The sequence below is a fragment of the Homo sapiens genome, chromosome 8 (genome assembly GCF_000001405.40).
Source record: "Homo sapiens chromosome 8, GRCh38.p14 Primary Assembly".
NCBI lineage: Eukaryota > Metazoa > Chordata > Mammalia > Primates > Hominidae > Homo > Homo sapiens.
In genome coordinates, this window is record NC_000008.11 from 37,805,989 (window position 1) to 37,825,522 (window position 19,534).

The window sequence follows — 19,534 nt, forward strand, 5'->3', positions numbered from 1 at the left end:
AGACCTCCATCACCACCTACCCCTCAAAGAGGTCTGCTTTCTTCACTCAAAAGTTTGGCTCCCCCCGGGGGGCTTTTAGGTTGTGCATGGAGGAAATGTTTAAGGTCAGTTGGGGGTAATTTCCCAGCCTCCACAAATCAGGGGGACACAGACACACACATAGATGAACATTCCATCCTGTTGGACACATCTCCCTCCACCTCCTATGAATGGAAGTTTGCAGATATGTGATGTATGATTTATGTTTGTAGGACTAGCCTGTTACACAAGGCTGAGTGCACAGTGGCTGTTAGGTAGCTCTGAGCAATGAATGAATGAATGGATGAATGAATGAATACCTAACTGTGGATGATTACAGCAGACTATGTTCCTTGTGCTCAAGCCAGGATGCTGTGACCCCCAAATCCCCATCAAGGTATACTGATTACCCCCAACTGTTTCCTCTTCCTCTCTGGCACCACCTCGGGTAGCTTCAGACAATGTGACCCCTATGGGTGTGGCATTTTCTTTTTCTTTTTCTTTTTCTTTTTTCTTTTTCTTTTTTTTTTTTTTTTGAGACAGAGTCGAGTCTCACTCTGTCACCCAGGCTGGAGTGCAGTGGCACGATCTTGGCTCTCTGCAACCTCTGCCTCCTGGGTTCAAGCAATTCTCCTGCCTCAGCCTCCCTAGTAGCTGGGACTACAGATGCATGCTACCTTGTCCAGCTAATTTTTGTATTTTTAATAGAGACGGGGTTTCACCATGTTGGCCAGGCTGGTCTCGAACTCCTGACCTCAAGTGATCCATCCACCTTGTCCTCCCAAAGTGCTGAGATTACAGATGTGAGCCACTGCGCCCGGCATGTAGCCCATTTTCTTAGGCTTCTGTCTCCAGATTCTGTCCCAAAGCCACAGATTCCCTTCCCATCCAAGCCCCAGTTTCTTGGTTCCCCCTGCTCACCACCAAGTTGGGGTGCCCTTGTAGAGAGGGTAGGTTAGAGAAAGGAGACTAGACCTATGAGAGAAGGCAGGGTGGAGCAGGACTCACTGCAGGTCTGTTTTCTCTCATGGCCTGGGCCTCCAGCCCTGCCTGGACAGCCCAGCTTCCAGGCTGGGTTCAGGGGCAGTCTCAGGACCCAACCCCCTAAAGCCCCTCCCTAGGCCTCCTTCTATTGCCAGTCGGTGTTCAGGGCTGACCTGACAAGCGTCCAGCCCAGGGAAGGGTGGCAGGGAAGTGCAGGAGCGGGCAGAACACCTTACATGTCCTCACCAACATTTATGTCCCTTGCAGTCAGGCTAAATGCATGTGAAGGCAGCCACGGAGGGACGGGAAGCCACAGGCCAGCCTTTCGCTTGAGGTTGTGTGTTGAAACAGGGCCTGTGCACGGCGAGCATCCTCACTTTTGGAGGTCTTACTGTCGTATCAACCATACTAAAATGTACCCACATCCGTCATCGAACATAATAATTATTGCTAATGACATAGTATGACATTGGGTAATTATGTCATTAAGCATTGGTTAATTTCCGTCTTTGCAGCATCTATATTTTAGAGGCAATGCTTCTTTTTTAGGTTTTAGGCATCTCTTTGAGCCCTGGAAATGCTCAAAGGCACAGCGGCTGCAGGGGAGGCTGAGAGCTCTGATTTCGGTGGGTGTTCGAGCCCCAGGGCTTTTTGGCATCAGCAAGCAGACTGCCCCCTACCAGTTCTGTGATGGTTTCCCTAAGACACGGCCAAGCTGCCAGTGGCAGGTGTTGGAGACAGGGCCTCCCAGACTCTGGGAACCTTTAGGAACCTAGTGATGGCCTGAACCGATGGAGGCTCCAGGATCAGACTCCCTAGGGAGTATGGATATCCCAAGTCCAGAGAGGAGCTCATTGGGTCTGAGTGGTTGGCAGGGGGCTGACATGCATGACTCTTCCCGCACATGTGAGAAACATTTAGTTCAGGCATGTGCTATGTGCCCACGTGACTCCTGCAGGGTCATCTTTGATGTTGGGGTGGTATCTGGTACGTTCCTGCGGCTGCCCAGAGCCCACAGAGCCTCTCTGTAGACGCCAGCCGCTTGCTCCCTTGGCCTCCAGCCTCATTAGTGGGAACTCTGCTTGCTTCTCTCCCACAAAATGGGACCCCAGCCGGGAGAGAGTTCTGGAATGGACTCGGTGTGCCCCCTCTCTCTGGCCAGATTTCAAACTCTGAAGTAGAGAACAGGAGACTCCAGGGACTGGCCCTCCTTCCTGTGAAAAGCTTGACATTAGGAGTGGGAGAAGGGCGTGGGAGGGAGGGAAGAAAGAAGCCGAAGATGCCTGGCCAGGCCAGCCAGGGCTCTGGGGCAGAGCTAGTGTGTGGTTGGGCAGGACATCTACCTGGCTGGCCCCCGTGAGGTTTTAGGGTCAGAGGACGGAGCAGGTTGAGGAGGCGTCTGTCTTGTGGGGGTTGAAGAGGGCCGAGGCTGACCCTATGTCTGTGTTGGATGGAGCTGTGGGTCCAAGGCTCCCTCCTTCCCTGCCCAATTGTGGCCACTTTGCCTGCTTTCCTCCCAGGGGACAGCCTAGAATGGTGGGAACATTTTTCTGCCCATTGGATGAAGCTGTGTGTGTGTGTGTGTGTGTGTGTGTGTGCATGGGCCTGCGTGCATGTTCATCCCCATCAGCAGTGCTGTAACACCCAGCTTTCTACCTGCCCATAAAAATGCCAGACCCAGCCAGGCACAGTGGCTCATCCCTATAATCCCAGCACTTTGGGAGGCTGAGGCAAGTCGATTTCTTTAGTTTAGAAGTTCAAGACTAGCCTGGGTAACATAGTGAGATCCTCACCTCTAGAAAAACTTTTTTCTTTCTTTATTTATTTTTATTTTTAATTTTTGTTTTTGAGACAGAGTCTTGCTCTGCTGCCCAGGCTGGAGTACAGTGGCATGATTTATCTTGGCTTACTGCAACCTCCACCTCCCAGGTTCAAGCGATTCTCCTGCCTCAGCCTCCAGAGTAGCTGGGATTACAGGTGCGTGCCACCACACCTGGCTAATTTTTGTTTTTAGTAGAGATGGGATTTCACCATGTTGGCTAGGCTGGTCTTGAACTCCTGGCCTCAAGTGATCCACCCACCTTGGCCTCCCAAAAAGCTGGGATTATAGGCATGAGCCACCGCATCTAGCCTCTACAAAAACATTTTTTTTTTAATTAGCTGGTCATGGTGGCGCATGCCTGTAGTCCTAGCTCCTGGGGAGGCCAAGGTGAGAGGATTGCTTGAGCTCAAGAGGTGGAGGCTGCAGTGATTTGTGATCATGCCACTGTACTCCAGCCTGGGCAATAGAGCGAAACTTGTCTCTCTTAAAAAAAAAAAAAAAGACCAGACCCCTGCACTATCTGTCTAAAACTGCCTGCCCTCCTCTCCCCAGATAGACCCACCACAAGGCACCCTCTGGAGAATAGAACCAGCAACTCAATGTCAATGGAGGCCCCTCTCTGGATAATCTAGGTCTAGAGTAAACTTCCTCAGACCTCTCCAGGTTGTTAAGGCCAAAAGATCCAACCCTGGGTATCTGAGGACTCGAATCACACAGCAATCTGCCTGAGGTCTTTCCAAGAGCTAGAAATTTGGCAAGAAGGGGGCCCCTTGGAGGAGAAGGATGAAAAGGCCTTTGCCTGGTGCCTGCATCTGCGAGTGGGTCAGAGGGTGGGGCATCAGGACCATGTTCTCTGCAGCAAGAAAATATCTCATTTCAAGACTTTCAGGGCTGGAGTTGGTGCTGGGCTAGCCAAACCGGAAGCGTGGGCTGCAGCTGCCCCCCACTCAACTCAGCCCTTGCCTCCCAGCACACACAGAGGCTGCCTCAGAGAGAGAGGGGTGGGTGGAGGGAAGAGAGAGAGAGGCCGAGACCGGGACTGCATGAAGTCTGGGCTCAGGGCAGCCTGGGGAGGGATGGGAGCCGGTCCCAGAGATAAGCTATTCTGGGCCAGAGGCTTGTCCTTGCCCTCCTCTGGGGTAGGTCCCCGATCTGTCGCTCTGCTGCCGCCCTGCACACTGACACCAGTGCCCGCAGCTGGTCTGAATTTAGGTGTGTTGGCAGAGAATAGAGTAGTAGGACATTCCAGAGTCCTAAGACTTTCTACCAAAATCAAAATGAAAGTATCTCATTAATAATTTTATATTGATTACATATAAAAATAACATTTTGGATACATTGAGTTAGATCATATATATATAAAAATATATATATATACACACACACACATATATTTTTAGAAACAGGGTCTCGCTAGGCTGGGTGAGGTGGCTCACGCCTGTAATCCCAGCACTTTAGGAAGATGAGGCGGGCGGATCATGAGATCAAGAGATCGAGACCATCCTGGCCAACATGGTGAAACCCCGTTTCTACTAAAAATACAAAAATTAGCTGGGTGTGGTGGCATGCACCTGTAGTCCCAGCTACTTGGGAGGCGGCAGTAGGAGAATCGCTTGAACCCAGGAGGCGGAGGTTGCAGTGAGCTGAGAGCATGCCACTGCACTCCAGCCTGGCAACAGAGCAAGGCTCTCTCTCTCAAAAAAAAAGAAAAGAAACAGGGTCTCGCTCAGGCTGGAGTGCAGTGGTGCAATCACAGCTCACTGCAGCCTCAAACTCCTGGGCTCAAGTGATCCTCTTGCCTCGTCCTCCCAAGTAGCTAGGACTACAGGCAGGCCACCACGTCTGGCTACTTTTTAAAAAATGTTTTATAGAGACAGGGTCTTGCTATGTTGCCCAGACTGGTCTTGAACTCCTGGCTTCAAGCAATTCTCCTGACTCAGCTTTCCAAAGCACTGGGATTGCAGGCATGAGCCACTGCACCAGGCCTAAATAACATATGTTCTCAAAATGAACTTTTAGGCTGGGCGCGGTGGCCGTATCATGCCTGTAATCCCAGCACTTTGGGAGGCCGAGGCGAGTGGATCATGAGGTCAGGAGATCAAGACCATCCTGGCTAACATAGTGAAACCCCGTCTCTACTAAAAAAAAAATACAAAAAAATTAGGGTGGCGGGTGCCTGTAGTCCCGGCTACTCAAAAGGCTGAGGCAGGAGAATGGCGTGAAGCCGGGAGGCGGAGCTTGCAGTGAGCCGAGATCACGCCACTGCACTGCAGACTGGGCAACAGAGCAAGACTCTGTCTCAAAAACAAAAAAAAAAAAAAAAAAAAAGAACTTTTATACTGTGTGTGTGTGTGTGTTTTTTTTTTTTTTTTTTGAGACGGAGTTTCACTCTTGTCACCCAGGCTGGAGTGCAATAGCGCGTTCTCGGCTCACTGCAACCTCCGCCTCTTGGGTTCAAGAGATTCTCCTGCCTCAGCCTCCCAAGTGGCTGGGATTACAGGCGCCTGCCACCACGCCTGGCTAATTTTTTTGTATTTTTAGTAGAGATGGAGTTTCACCATGTTGGCCAGGCTGGTCTCCAACTCCTGACCTCAGGTGATCTGCCTGCCTCAGCCTCTCAAAGTGCTGGGATTACAGATGTAAACCACTGCACCCAGCCAACTTTTTTTTTTTTTTTTTTGGCAACAGAGTTTTTCTCTTGTTGCCCAGGCTGGAGTGCAATGGTGCAATCTCGGCTCACTGGAACCTCCGCCTCCCAGGTTCAAGTGATTCTCCTGCCTCAGCCCTCCAAGTAGCTGGGATTACAGGCATGCACCACCACGCCTGGCTAATTTTGTATTTTTGGTAGAGACGGGGTTTCGCCATGTTTGCCAGGCTGGTCTCAAACTCCTGACCACAGGTGATCTGCCCGCCTCAGCCTCCCAGAGTTCTGGGATTATAGGTGTGAGCCACCGCACCTGGCCCAACTTTTAAACTTTTTAAATGTGGCTACTAGGAAATTTAAAATGGGCTGGGTGCGGTAGTTTACACCTATAATCCCAGCACTCTGGGAGGCCGAGGCAGGCGGATCACCTGAAGTCAGGAGTTTGAGACCAACCTGGCCAACATGGTGAAACCCCGCCTCTACTAAAAAGATAAAAATTAGCCATGCATGGTGACGGGCACCTGTAATCCAGCTACTCTGGAGGCTGAGGCAGGAGAATCACTTGAACCCGAGAGGCGGAGGTTGCAGTGAGCCGACATCGTGCCATTGCACTCCAGTCTGGGCCACAGAATGAGACTCTCTTTCAGAAAAAAAAAGAAAAGAAAAGAAAATTTAAAATGACATGCACTTGCAATGGTGTTGTTGTTGTTGTTGTTGTTGTTGTTGTTGTTGTTGTCAGCTCTCTGTTAAAGAATTTGGGGTATTTGAAGTGGGTTAAAGGCTAAAGAGTTGGGAAAATGTGAGGAATCACCCCCACCAACACTACCTCTGCCCCACGCTGGGCAGAGCTCTCAAACTGAGATCTCAGGTTTTAATATTGAGGATTTGTGGCTGGGCGCGGTGGCTCACGCCTGTAATCCCAGCACTTTGGGAGCCCGAGGCGGGTGGATCACGAAGTCAGGAGATCGAGACCATCCTGGCTAACACGGTGAAACCCCGTCTCCACTAAAAATACAAAAAATTAGCCGGGCGTGGTGGCGGGCACCTGTAGTCCCAGCTACTCTGGAGGCTGAGGCAGGAGAATGGCGTGAGCCCGGGAGGCAGAGCTTGCAGTGGGCGGAGATTGCACCACTGCACTCCAGCCTGGGCAACAGAGCGAGACTCCGTCTCAAAAAAATAAAAATAAAAATATTGAGGATTTGGGAGTTGCAGAATTTTTTTTTTTTTTGAGACTAGGTCTCACTCTTGCCCAGGGTGGAGTGCAATGGTGCCATCATAGCTCACTGCAGCCTCGAACTCCTGGGCTCAAGTGATACAATCCTCCTCCCTCAGGCTCCTGAGTAGCTGGGACTATAGGTACCATGCCACCAGGCCCAGCTAATTTTTTATTTTTATTTATTTATTTATTTATTTCGTAGAGACAGAGTTTCACTATGTTGCCCAGCTGGTCTTGAACTCCTGGCCTCAAGTGATCTGCCCGTCCCAGCCTCCCAAAGTGCTAGGTTACAGATGTGAGCCACCACACCCAGCCCCTTGTCCAACATTTAATGTAAACTCTGGGGTATAGGAAGGGCATGAACTGGGGGTGGAGTGAGGCAGGCTTTGACTTTAAAGTCAGAGCCTGTCACCTGCCAGGCATGATGGCTCGTGCCTATAGTCCCAGCCACTCAGGCAGAGGCAGGAGGATCCCTTGAGCCCAGGAGTGAGGCTGCAGTGAGCTCTAACTGTGCCACTGCACTGTAGCCTGGGTGACAGAGCAAGACCTCATCTCTAAAAAAATTTTTTTTAATTTCTTTTAAAGAGCCTGTCACCACTCAGAGGCCACCCCAGGCCCACCAGGGCCTGATGAGACCTTTAGAGGCCTCTAGAGGCCCTAAGAATGGCCAAGATTATGATTCATCACCAACACCCCATGTATGAAGTGAAATAAAACTATCCTAACTCATAAAATGAGAATAATAAATAAAATAATAACGTGAGTTCATAGAAGATCTAATATCCCATATAACGACTACTGTGATGTACTTTTTGACATATCAACATTGTGCGTGTGTGTGTGTTTGTGTGTGTGTAAGCATTTTGGAAACTCAGCCAACCTACCCCCCTACCCATCACTTCCCACCAGGAAATGTCACCACTGGGGGGACCATTAGGCAGGGACTGGACGGGTGGGAGGGATCTATGGAGTGGGGAGAAGGAAGGAAGGAGATGAGGTCTCCACCCCTCCCTCCTCCACCCCTCGCCCTAGAAAGCCCCTTCAACTCTTTTCCATGCTTCCCTCCATCCTGGCCACTGTCTTCTCCACGAGCCAATGGAAGACAGAGCAGCTGGAATGTCAGCCGTCGGGGGTCTCCCCACTGCCCCTGGTCTGTTCACCCACCACTTCCAGGAAGCTTCGAGGCTCATCTCTTTGCCAGCTCTTCTTAGGGCTTGTTCCTTCCCACTTCCCCCTCCCTTCCAGTCCAGCCTGGAGGCCGCTCCCTCAAGGAAAGGCCCAGGGCCTGCACCTCTGGCCTTCCCACATCAGTTCTCTACCCTTGAGACCAAAGAAGGGAGACCCTTTGCCTCAGCCCAGGGCAGGCAAGAGTTTGGGCGGAGAGGCTCATTAAAGCTTTCTAATAAGCAATTAACTGGGGGATGAGCCCTTTGGCTGGCCTGGATCTCCCTCCTCCCAGCAGGGAGCTTGGCAGAGAAAGGCTGAGTGGGTGGGCGGAGATGAGACACTCGGTCTCTCTCAGTCACTTGGGGCCCCTTTCCTCCTCCCCTAAATACAAACGAATAAATAAACAGAACCCCGAGGCGCAGAGGCTGAGGCTGAGGCCTGGCTTCCCCTACACTCGGGGCTCCATTGGCTTTCTGCCAAGGCTTCAGAAGGCTTAGGAGGCCAGGATGCGGCCACTGTGCACTCAGGCCCTCTGAGATGGGGGCCTGTGAGGTCCTTCGCTCACAGGTGAGAGTGTGCGAGCCTCCGAGGAAGGGCAGCTCCCGCCTGCCTCCAGACCTTCTGGGCATCCTGGCCCCGTTCAAGCCATTCTCCCCACCACTCTCTTCGGGATATTGGGTGAAGGGCTTGAGCAAGGATGGAACTGTGAAGGGCATCATGAGGGGGCACTGAGGGTCAGCCCTGTGGTTCCAGAGTGGAAACGGGGCATCACAGGGTCACCCCCACCTGCTCAGCCCACCTCCCACCTGCACACAGAGCCCCACGTCAGAGCCAGGCTTGGAGGAGACTCAGGGCAGGAAGGTCTGACGTGGGGCTGGGTGGACCGTTGGCCAGCTTCTCCCTGTAATCTCCGGAAGTAGAGGGTGGGGGCTGCTGCCTCGCACAACTCCAGGGGGCGCCATTGACAAAGATGCAAGCTGGCCCCACCAGTGGTGAAAGCGGATGCCCAGCACATAACAGCACCTTGTCCTGTCTGTGTCCTCTCTGTCTCTTCAGGCTCTTGAGCAATAACAAGATCACGGGGCTCCGCAATGGCTCCTTCCTGGGACTGTCACTGCTGGAGAAGCTGTAAGTGCTGGGGAAGGTGAGGTGGAGGAGGGGGGTGGCCGTGATGGCAAGAGGTCACCCCGGGGAGGAGGAGGAACGCTGGTCGCTGAGTGACTCCAGAACCTGCCGGCCGAGCAGGGCCCGGAGTTAGACCCACTGGGACCCTGCCCAGGGCTTGACCAACAAGGAGAAGCCACAGAGGCGCTGGTATGGAACGAGAGACCAGCTCCTCTGCCAGCCACGGCGAGAGAAGTGGGGAGCGGGTTCTGAGAAGCTCATTAACGCTCTTTAATGAGCAATTAGCTGTGAGGGCCGAGCTCTCGACTGGCCTCCCCCTCGCAGCTGGGGGCCCAGCATAAAAGGGCGGAGGGCAGCTTAAAGCGACTGACTGCGGCCCTTTTCCGCCTTTCCTACAAACAAATCAACAAACAAAGCCCCAAGGGGGCTGAGGGTGGGGAAGTCCGATCATTTCCAAGCCTCTCCCCCACTCCAGCCCACCCCACCCTGGTTCAGAGCCGCCTGGGCAGTGGCAGCCTTCAGGCTGGCCTTGGCCCTGAGGCTGCCAGCCAGGTCTGGGCGTTCCCCGCTAGCCGGCTGGAACCTCATTCCCAGAGCTGGGGCCCCTGCATCTGGTGGGGCCAGTGTGGGGAAGAGGGTTATCGAGGAGGAGCTGGTGGCTGTGAGTTGTTAGGGAAATGGGGGGATGCAGAAGCCCTGCCCTCTCCTCATGGGGAGAGTGTTCACGGGGCTCATGGAGAGGTAGGGTAAGCCCTGGGTGGGAGACCTCACTCAGCCACTTGGGCCAGTCACTGAAGCTGCCAGACTCAGGAATGTAATCACCCTCTAAGTCACCTGCTCCGTCGGTACAATCCAGGGACCACAGCCTGGACCACAATTCTGGGTCCTTGCCCCTCCACAGAGGAAGCCTGGGCCTCCCACCTCTCCTAGAGCCTGACTCTTGCTTTCTCTCTCACGCCCCCATCCCGTCTCCCATCTCTGCTCTCATCCTGCTAGGCGTTCCTAGTTCCTCCGACAGGGAGGGCCCTTGGCCCCTCTAGCGCCATTTTGCCCAAATGGGTCAGCGCAATGGGAGACACAAAAGAATAAGGTGTGACTCTCCTGCTCAAAAACAGCCCAGGCAATTGCAGTCCAGGGGAGACCACAAACAATGCCATGTATACTAGAATTAAGTATATTGGGGTCTGGGCGTGGTGGTTCTGTAAATCCCAGCACTCTGGGAGGCCGAGGCTGGAGGACGGCTTGAGCCCAGGAGTTCAAGGCTGCAGTGAGCTATGATTGTGCCACTGCACTCCAGCCTGTGTAACAGAGTAAGGCCCTGTCTCTTAAAAACACACACACACTTAGGCCGGGCGCGGTGGCTCACACCTATATTCCCAGCACTTTGGGAGGCCGAGGCGGGTGGATCACTTGAGGTCAGGAGTTCGAGACTAACCTGGCCAACATGGTAAAACCCCACCTCTACTAAAAATACAAAAATTAGCTGGGCATGGTGCTGCATGCCTGTAATCCCAGCTACTCGGGGGCTGAGGCACCAGAATCTCTTGAACCTGGGAAGCCAAGGTTGCAGTAAGCTGAGATTGCGCCACTGCACTCCAGCCTGTGTGACAGAGCGAGACTCCGTCTCAAACACACACACACACACACACACACACACACACACACACACACGGCTGGGTGCAGTGGCTCGTGCCCATAATCCCAGTACTTTGGGAGGCCAAAGTGGGTGGATCACGAGGTCAGGAGTTCGAGACCAGCCTGGCCAACATGGTAAAACCCCATCTCTACTAAAAATACAAAAATTAGCTGGGCATGGTGGCATGCGCCTGTAGTCCCAGCTGCTCAGGAGGCTGAGGCAGGAGGATTGCTTGAACCCGGGAGGTGGAGGCTGCAGTGAGCTGAGATTGCACCACTGCACTCCAGCCTGGGCGACAGAGCAAGACTGTCTCAAAAAGAAAGCAAAACACACACACACACACACACACACACACACACACACACACACACACACATAGATTAGGGCTCCTGTCAAGTTCAAAGGAGGTGTCAGCAAAGTCCAAAGAAGTGTTCACAGGTAATGGAGACACAGTATGGATGTGACATGGTGTTGAGATCTCTCATCATGACAGCAGCCTCGTGAGGGAGCCTCCATGACACCCATTCCACCGTGGAAGGGAAAGCCTCTGGCCCCAAGCCCCCGAAGCTGGGAGGAAAGAGTGATGGCCTGGCTGGGTTCCTGGGAGTGGGAAGGCACAAATCCCATATTTGGGCAGAAAGGTAGAGCAGGCTGTCTACCAATCTGGGACAAGCTGGAGTAGCAGGGCGACCCGGGATGGTGACAGTGACATTTGCACGCGGCTCCGTGACTAGGTCCCTCTAACCGTCTGCTCTGTGGCTCACAGACAGAGTGGTCCTGATGCACAGGAAGGGCTGCCACCAAGCTGCTATCTAAAAGTCTCCTTGGTGCCAGGCATGGTGGCTCACGCCAGTAATTCCAAAGCTTTGGGAGGCAGGCAGATTGCTTGAGCTCAGGAGCTCAAGACCAGTCTGGGCAACATAATGAGACCCTGTCTCTAGAAAAAATATTTTTTTTAATTAGCCAGGCACAGTGGTATGCACCCATAGTTCCAGCTACTCAGGAGGCTGAGGTGGGAATCGCTTGAGCTGGGGAAGTTGAGGCTGCAGTGAGCCATAATTGTGCCACTGCACTCCAGCTTGGGCAAAAGAGTGAGACCCTGTCTCTCTAAATAAATAAATAAATAAATAAATAGGCCAGGCATGGTGGCTCACGCCTGTAATTCCAGCACTTTGGGAGGCCATGGCTGGCGGATCACCTGAGGTTAGGAGTTCGAGACCAGCCTGGCCAACATGGTGAAACCCTGTCTCTACTAAAAATACAAAAATTAGCCGGGTGTGGTGGTGGGTGCCTGTAATCTCAGCTACTTGGGAGGCTGAGGCAGGGAGAATTGCTTGAACCCGGGAGGCATAGGTTGCAGCTGAGATCACGCCATTGTACTCATTGTACTCCAGCCTGGGCAACAGAGCAAGACTCCGTCTCTAAATAAATAAATAAATAGAAATAAAAGTCCTCTTGGGTGCCAACAAAGAGGGAAAGCAGCTAAGCATTCGAGAGCTCTGTGTCCTCTGCTCAGCCCAGGCTTGGTCTTGGAGGAAGTCTTGGAGTCGCAGGAAACCAGATGTCCTTCCAGGGGTCTTTGGAGGAAGGCAAGCCGCAGTGGTCTCTTCAGCCCCTGCCCTGCCCCTCTCAGGCTGGCACCTCCCACAATGGCTCTTCCTCCTCCTCCTTAGCACACACAAGTGAGAAGGTACTGCACAGAGCCCCTGGTGGCCTCACTGACCTCTCCCCTACTTCAGCCTTGCCCCTGTCTCCTCATCCTTCAGTCTCATGAGAGCACATTTTTCTGATGAAGATGAAAAGACGGCCTGTCCTTCTCCAGCACCAAGGCTCTGGAGGCTGCATAGCAAGTGCACCCTGAGCATGGCAGGCAATCAGAAGAACCAGGGCGGCAGCAGCTCACAAGAGGCAGCATCTGGCTTGATGCCGAGTCGTGCGATGTAGGAGCAGTACTAGAGTGGGAATTCTAAACGCTGAGTCCCAGCTCCTGCTCTGTGCTGGTCACCCCATCCATTCATTCTGTAGGTGCTCACTGAGCCCTTCTATGTGCCAGGCTCTGTTCTAGGCTTTGGGAGTGAGCACAGGAGATCAGGTGCCTGCCCTCCCGGCCCTTACCTCTACTGATAGGACCCAGAAAATAGCAAATAGGTGTGTGGTGTGTCTGGAGGCCTAAGTGCAGCAGAGAAAAACAAGGCAGGGTAAGGAGGTGAGAAAGCAAGAGGGCCAGGGGTGCTATTTTATGTAGTGAGGTCAGGAAGGCCTTGCTGATGACATGCCTGGGCCTGAGACCTGAAGGGACGAGGAAGGAAGCCTGGAGCTCTCAGGAAGGATGAAGAGAGCAGGCATTGCCAAGGCCCCTGGGTTCAGGGAATGCCTGGGGAGTCTGAGAAATAGAAGGGCAGTGTGAGCTGGCAAAGCGAGCCAGGGGGAGGTGGCAGGAGACAGGTAGGATGTGATGCCGGGGTGGCTACTGGGGTGGCCTTCGATTCCTCATTGTCAGAAGAGCTAGGGTAGATGGGGTGATTTGGGAGGTGCATTATGGATCTAAAATTCTATGATCCTTGGATGTGTGTGGGACACCCACAGCGCCCATAAGGAGAAGATAATCACAGGACCCAGTGACAGGGCCAGGCTTTCCAGAGGAGGGGCCATCTGGGCAGAAGGGTGTGCCGTGGGCAGCAGGACAGGGATGGTGCTTGTTCAGGGCTGGAGGAGCTCAGGGTCTCCAACGTGGTCACTGATCACTGCTGTATTTATATATGCAAATACTTACTATTATTATTATTATTTGAGATGGAGTCTCGCTCTGTCACCAGGCTAAAGTGCAGTGGCACGATCTCCAGTGCAACCTCTGCCTCCTGGGTTTTAAGCGATTCTCCTGCCTCAGCTTCCCAAGTAACTGGGATTACAGGCACACGCCACCATGCCCAGCTAATTTTTGTATTTTTAGTAGAGACGGTGTTTCATGTTGCCCAGGATGAGGATGGTCTCGATCTCTTCACCTTGTGATCCGCCCTCCTTGGCCTTCCAAAGTGCTGGGATTACAGGCATGAGCCATCGCACCCGGCCTTTTTCTTTTTTCTTTTTTGAGACAGAGTCTCACTCTGTCACCCAGTCTGGAGTGCAGTGGCACAATCTTGGCTCACTGCAACCTCCACCTCCCAGGTTCAAGTGATTCTCCTGCCTCAGACTCCTGAATAGCTGGGATTACAGGTACGTGCCACCACACCTGGCTAATTTTTGTATTTTTAGTAGAGATGGGGTTTCAGCATGTTGGCCAGGCTGGTCTCGAACTCCTGACCTCAAGTGATCTGCCCACCTCAGCCTCCCAAAGTGCTGGGATTACAGGCATGAGCCACCACGTCTGGCCATGAAGACATTTTTTAAAAAAGGAATTGACATGATTGTGGGGGCTGGCAGACCCCAAATCTGTAGGGCAGGCCAGCAGTCTGAGAAGTCAGACAGGAGCAGACGCTGCAGTCTTGGGGCAGAATTTCTTCTCTAGGAAGCCTCAGTGTCTGCTTTTAAGGCCTTCAGCTGATTGGATGAGGCCCACCCACATCATACAGGAGCATCTCCTTCACATGAGGTCAGCTAATGGCAGATGTCAACCACATCTACAAAATACCTGCACAGCGACATCTAGATTCATGTGTGATTAAACCACTGGGTACTATAGCCTTTGTCAAGCTGACACAAAACTAACCATCACAACCACTATCCCCCCAGAAGGAGAGGGCCCTTGGGTAATACAGATGCTGGGCCTCCCTCCTGGAGATTCTAATTCATCTGTCCCATGGGGCCTGGGAATTTTTTACATGCTATGCAGGCAATTCTCATGCTCATCCAGGGTTAGGTGCCAGTGGGCAAGATGACCCCTAGACTGAGGGCCTATTCATCAGGAATAAGACTCCATGGGCTGGCATGTAGTTGGTGCTCAGGAAACACTGATCCCTCTGTCCTGTCAAACTCAGATGTCTAGGCTTGGGCGGCTGAGGCCATGGCAACTTAACATCCCACAGTCTATGAGCAGCACGTCCAGTGGGAGGGTTGAGGCCCAGTCTGTTAACTGAAACGGAAGCTCCAGGCTGTTGCAGAATGTGTTTGCATGGCCTCCTTGGCTGAGAGCCCCTTGAGCCTTTGCAAATGGGCTGTGTGTACGTGAGGGGGTCGCCTTGTTGTACAGGAGCTGGGAGTAGATCTGCGTGGTATCTGTTTTGCAATGCAGGGTCCTGAGGCCAGCATGGGCAGGATGGGCAAGGAAGGGGCCACAGAGCGGATGCCCAGTGGGAATGTGTCAGAGATGATCATCCAGAGAGGTTGGGGGTAGGGGTGGAGATGGGGGGGCACACACCTTTATCAGCCAGATAGGATAGACAGGAAGACCTGAAACAGAGCCCTGCAGAAACACCTCCTGGGCCGCCCAGGGAGTGTACAGAAGACCCACCTTGCACGTCTGTGCCCTCTCTCTCTCCCACCACCCTCCAGCATGGCCAAGACTGTTTCTTGCCCAAAGGAAAGACTTTTGGGGCAGAGAGAAGCTGATGAAAGAGCGCTGGACTCCATTTGGTGTGAAAAGCAGCCTGGAGTGGAATCATCCCTCCTTCTTTTACCTTCCAGTGCCTCTCCCAGCCCTGGGTTACTCACCTGGAAAATAGGGCTATGAGGAATTGTTACAGGAACAGAGGAAGAGTTCCTTACACAGAACGCATGGCAGCACAGGCTTCCAGTATATGGCAGGCAGTTCCCTTCCCCTCTGAAGATTTCCCAGTTGCTAGATGTTACCCTGGCCGCCTGTCATTTGCATAGATTTGCCTACAGTTCCCAGCCTTGGGCAGGCAACTGTGTAGCTGAAATATACATGCTCCAAGTACAGCTGGTGATTCATTCCCCGGGATCCCCTGCCAAGCACATGCAATGGGGACTAGGCCACAGGAAGACTTTTCTGGGGGGCTCTGAGGGTGTCAGTCACAGTAAGATGCCTCTAGACCAGGGACCAAGCCGGCCAGGGCAGACAGCCCCAAGAGAGGCCAAGGGAGCGAGACTGCGTGCCTGCCAGCACATGGGTCTGTGTGGACACTGGCCCCCAGAGGCTCGTGCACGGCTAAAGGAAAGAGTCTGGGAAGGGGAGCCCGGTCAGCCCCGGGATGATTTGTCATTACTTAATGAGATTAATGAGCCCCGGGGGCTGGTATGCAGGGGTGCTGAGGCGCTCATTAGAAGCAGATGCTCATGGGAACGAACGAAAGTGGCGGCCTGGGGGTGGAGTGAGGCTTGCCCAACGCCAGGTGGCTTCCATTAGTCTGTGGGTGGGGCCGAGGGTGAGGCTGCTGGGCTCTGTCCCTCCTCCCCTCCCCGTCCCCAACAACACTGGGGAGGAATGCCGCAGACAAGCTGCCTGGACTCCTGCACCACTGAGGCCCAGGAGGGAAGGCTGATGTGTTCAGGGACAGCCCTCTTGTTTGCCATGGTAGCCCCCATGCCTGGCATGGGGTACATGCTCAATAAATAACCTGTGGATTGTTATCAGAGACAAGAGGCACCTGGAGGATGGGACTAGAACCTCTCCCTTCCTCCCCTAGACACTTCTATACCTGCAGGGTGTCCTGGCCCACTTCTCAGCCAGCCCCCACTTTCTAGTGAACCCTGGAAGTCTTGTAGGCCCAGGGAAGGCTGCTTTGTGGCCTCCGAACCTATAATTTGGTTTTCAAACCCACAAGCAGGGAGGTCTGTGGGGCCAGAGGGAGCTGACTCTCTGCGGCCCCACCCTGCCTGTATGTGGGTACACACACACACACACACACACACAGTCACATGCTCTTTAACTCACATGCTCTTTAACGGCTCTAGTGAGATATAATTTACGTGCCATAAAAGTTCACCCGTTTAAAAAAAAGTGTGCAATCCAATGGTTTCTAGTATATTTTACAGAATTGTGTAATCACCATAATCTAATTTTAGAACATTTTCATCATCCGCAAAAGAAACCTTGAATCATTAACAGTCACTCCTCATTCCTCCACCCCCTCTTCCCCAGGCCCAAGCAACCACTAATCTGCTTTCTGTCTATAGATCTATAAATCTGCCTGTTCTGGACATTTTATATAAATGAAATCATGCAATAGGTAATCTTTCATAACTCGATTCTTTCAGCATGGTACTTTCAGGGTTCACCCATGTTATAGCACGTATCAGCACTTCATTCCTTTTAATGGCCAGATAATATTCCATTGTATGACTACACCACATTTTGTTTATCCCTTCATCTCTTGAATATTTGGGTGGATACTACTTTTTTTTTTTTTTTTTGAGATGGAGTCTCACTCTGTTGCCCAGTCTGGAGTGCAGTGGTGCGATCTCGGCTTGCTACAACCTCCTCCTCCCGAGTTCAAGCGATTCTCCTGCCTCAGCCTCCTGAGTACCTGGGATTACAGGCGCGCACTACCACACCCGGCTAATTTTTGTATTTTTAAGTAGTGACGGGGTTTCACCATGTTGGTCAGGCTGGTCTCGAACTCCTGACCTTGTGATCTGCCTGCCTTGGCCTCCCAGAGTGCTGGGATTACAGGTGTGAACCACCATGCCCAACCTTTTTTTTTTTTTTTTTTTGACAGACAGGGTCTCACTCTGGCGCCAGGCTAGAGTGCTAGAGTGCAGTGGCATGATCACGGCTCACTGCAGCCTTGACTTCCTGGGCTCAAGCAATTCTCCTGTCTCAGCCTCCTGAATAGCTGGGACTTACAGGCACGCACCACCATGCCTGGCCAATTTTCTTTTTTGGTAGAGATAGGGGTCTCACTGTGTTGCTCAGGCTGGTCTTGAACTCCTGGTCTCAAGTGAGCCTCCTACTTCAGCCTCCCAAAGTGTTGGGATTACAGGCTTGAGCTACCACACGTGGCCAGTTTCTACTTTTTGCTACTATGCACAATGCTGCTGTGAACATTCAGCTATGGGTTCTTGTGTGGATGTATCTGTATTTCTCTTGGATATATACCTAGGAGTGGAATTTCTGGGTCATATGGTAACCCGAACTGTGAAACTGTTTTCCAAAGTGTCTGCACCATTTTACATTCCCACCAGTAATGTGTAAGGGTTCCAGTTCTCCACATCGTCATCAACACTTGCTGGAGTCTCTCTTTTTTATTACAGCTGTCTTAGTAGGTGTCAAGTGGCTTTGATTTGCATTTCCCTTACTGCTGGTGATGTTGAGCATCTTTGTATGGGCTTATTGGCCATTTGTGTGTCTTCTTGGATAAAATGTCTATTCAGATCCTTTGCCCATTTTTTTCAACTGGGTTATTTGTCTTTCTGCTATTGAGTTGTAAGAGTCCTGTATATATTCTAGATAGACATCCCTTATCAGATCTGATTTGCAAATATTTTCTCTCATTCTGTGGTTCTCTTTCACTTTCTTGATGATATCCTTTAAGATGCAATTTTTTTTTTTCGAGATGGAGTTTCACTCTTGCTGCCCAAGCTGGAGTGCAATGGCATGGTCTCAGCTCACTGCAATCTCCGCCTCCTGGGTTCAAGTGATTCTCCTGCCTCTGCTTCCTGAATAGCTGGGATTACAGGCATGCGCCACCACGCCCAGCTAATTTTTGTATTTTTAGTAGAGATGGGTTTCACCATGTTAGTCAGGCTGGTCTCGAACTCCTGACCTCGTGATCTGCCCGCCTTGGCCACCCAGAGTGCTGGGATTACATGCATGAGCCATCATGCCCAGCCTGCCCATTTTTTTCAACTGGATTATTTGTCTTTTTGCTATTGAGTTGTAAGAGTTCTGTGTATATTCTAGATAGACATCCCTTATCAGATCTGATTTGCAAATATTTTCTCTCATTTTGTGGTTCTCTTTCACTTTCTTGATGGTATCCTCTAAGGTGCAATTTTTTTTTTTTTTTTTTTTTGAGACTGAGTTTTGCTCTTGTTGCCCAGGCTGGAGTGCAATGGTGTGATCTCAGCTCACTGCAACCTCCACCTCCCGGGTTCAAGCGATTCTCCTGCCTCAGCCTCCTGAATAGCTGAGATTACAAGGCTCCCGCCACCACACACGGCTAATTTTTTGTATTTTTAGTAGAGACAAGGTTTCAACATGTTAGCCAGGCTGGTCTCGAACTCCTGACCTTAGGTGATCCACCTGCCTCAGCCTCCCAAAGTGCTGGGATTATAGGCATGAGCCACTCACCTGGCCAAAGGTGTAAAATTTTTAAGTTGTTATTAAATTCAACTTAACAATCTGCTTTGTTTCCTATTTCACCCCGTTTTGCTTTTTCTGAACTTTTATTCATCCGTTACTCCCTCCTCCTTTCATTGCTTCTGCTCACAAACTCACTCTTACACACTCAGCTCCCAAAGCCTCTGTTTTCCCAACAACGGCATAGGGCATGATTTGCTCCCAGGAATCCTCCCTCCACATCTGGCTTAGGGGAATCCTCCTGCATATTGACAGAGATACAGGGAGGGGGTGGCCTGGAGTCAAGGGGCAATGGGTAGCAGGGAGGGGAAGTGCCTTCAACACCCTGCGTCTTTCCCAGGTTCCAAGGACAGGGCTCTGTGGAAGCATATCTGCGCGTGCTTCCACAAGCTACTCTAGCTTCACCTGAGAAACGGAGGGATCAGATCAGACCATCCAGCAAAGGACTTCTGTCATTTTTTTTTTAAGAGTCTCACTCTGTCGTCCAGGCTGGCGTGCAGCAGTGGCGAAATCTCAGCTCACTGCAACCTCCACCTCCCAGGTTCAGGTGATTCTCCTGCCTCAGCCTCCCATGTAGCTGGAATTACAGGCGCCCACCCCCACATTGGCTAAATTTTTTTTTTTTTTTTTTAGTAGAGACGGGGTTTCACCATGTTGGCCAGGCTGGTCTCGAACTCCTGACCTCAGGTGATCTGCCTACCTCGGCCTCCCAAAGTGCAGGGATT

The 19,534-nt window shown here is 51.9% G+C and overlaps 1 protein-coding gene across 4 annotated transcripts in view, besides 5 other annotated features; it reads left to right on the top strand.

Moving 5' to 3' along the window:
• The window catches only part of ADGRA2 (adhesion G protein-coupled receptor A2), a 48,014-nt gene that overhangs the window by 9,106 nt on the left and 19,374 nt on the right, over window positions 1-19,534 (top strand). For 3 of the 4 annotated variants that reach the window (XM_011544481.3, NM_032777.10, XM_011544483.3), the window contains exon 2: window positions 8,908-8,979. The exons of the other annotated variant lie outside the window; for it this stretch is intronic. In XM_011544481.3, the coding sequence (XP_011542783.1) occupies window positions 8,908-8,979 (72 nt within the window). The remainder of the gene's footprint in view (window positions 1-8,907; window positions 8,980-19,534) is intronic. 4 annotated transcript variants of the gene reach the window in all.
• Window positions 3,528-3,750: a silencer, noted in NCBI's record as "fragment chr8:37667034-37667256 (GRCh37/hg19 assembly coordinates)". NCBI's record gives its function as "represses an EF-1alpha promoter that drives an FKBP-Casp9 reporter gene in an ReSE screen in K562 erythroleukemia cells {active_cell/tissue: K562}" and the evidence as "EXISTENCE:reporter gene assay evidence [ECO:0000049][PMID:32094911]".
• Window positions 8,095-8,860: an enhancer, noted in NCBI's record as "H3K27ac-H3K4me1 hESC enhancer chr8:37671601-37672366 (GRCh37/hg19 assembly coordinates)". NCBI's record gives its function as "activates a minimal SCP1, AML or CMV promoter by ChIP-STARR-seq in naive H9 embryonic stem cells {active_cell/tissue: H9 hESC(naive)}" and the evidence as "EXISTENCE:reporter gene assay evidence [ECO:0000049][PMID:30033119]".
• Window positions 8,861-9,626: an enhancer, noted in NCBI's record as "H3K4me1 hESC enhancer chr8:37672367-37673132 (GRCh37/hg19 assembly coordinates)". NCBI's record gives its function as "activates a minimal SCP1, AML or CMV promoter by ChIP-STARR-seq in naive H9 embryonic stem cells {active_cell/tissue: H9 hESC(naive)}" and the evidence as "EXISTENCE:reporter gene assay evidence [ECO:0000049][PMID:30033119]".
• Window positions 9,627-10,392: an enhancer, noted in NCBI's record as "H3K4me1 hESC enhancer chr8:37673133-37673898 (GRCh37/hg19 assembly coordinates)". NCBI's record gives its function as "activates a minimal SCP1, AML or CMV promoter by ChIP-STARR-seq in naive H9 embryonic stem cells {active_cell/tissue: H9 hESC(naive)}" and the evidence as "EXISTENCE:reporter gene assay evidence [ECO:0000049][PMID:30033119]".
• Window positions 15,819-16,392: an enhancer, noted in NCBI's record as "H3K4me1 hESC enhancer chr8:37679325-37679898 (GRCh37/hg19 assembly coordinates)". NCBI's record gives its function as "activates a minimal SCP1, AML or CMV promoter by ChIP-STARR-seq in primed H9 embryonic stem cells {active_cell/tissue: H9 hESC(primed)}" and the evidence as "EXISTENCE:reporter gene assay evidence [ECO:0000049][PMID:30033119]".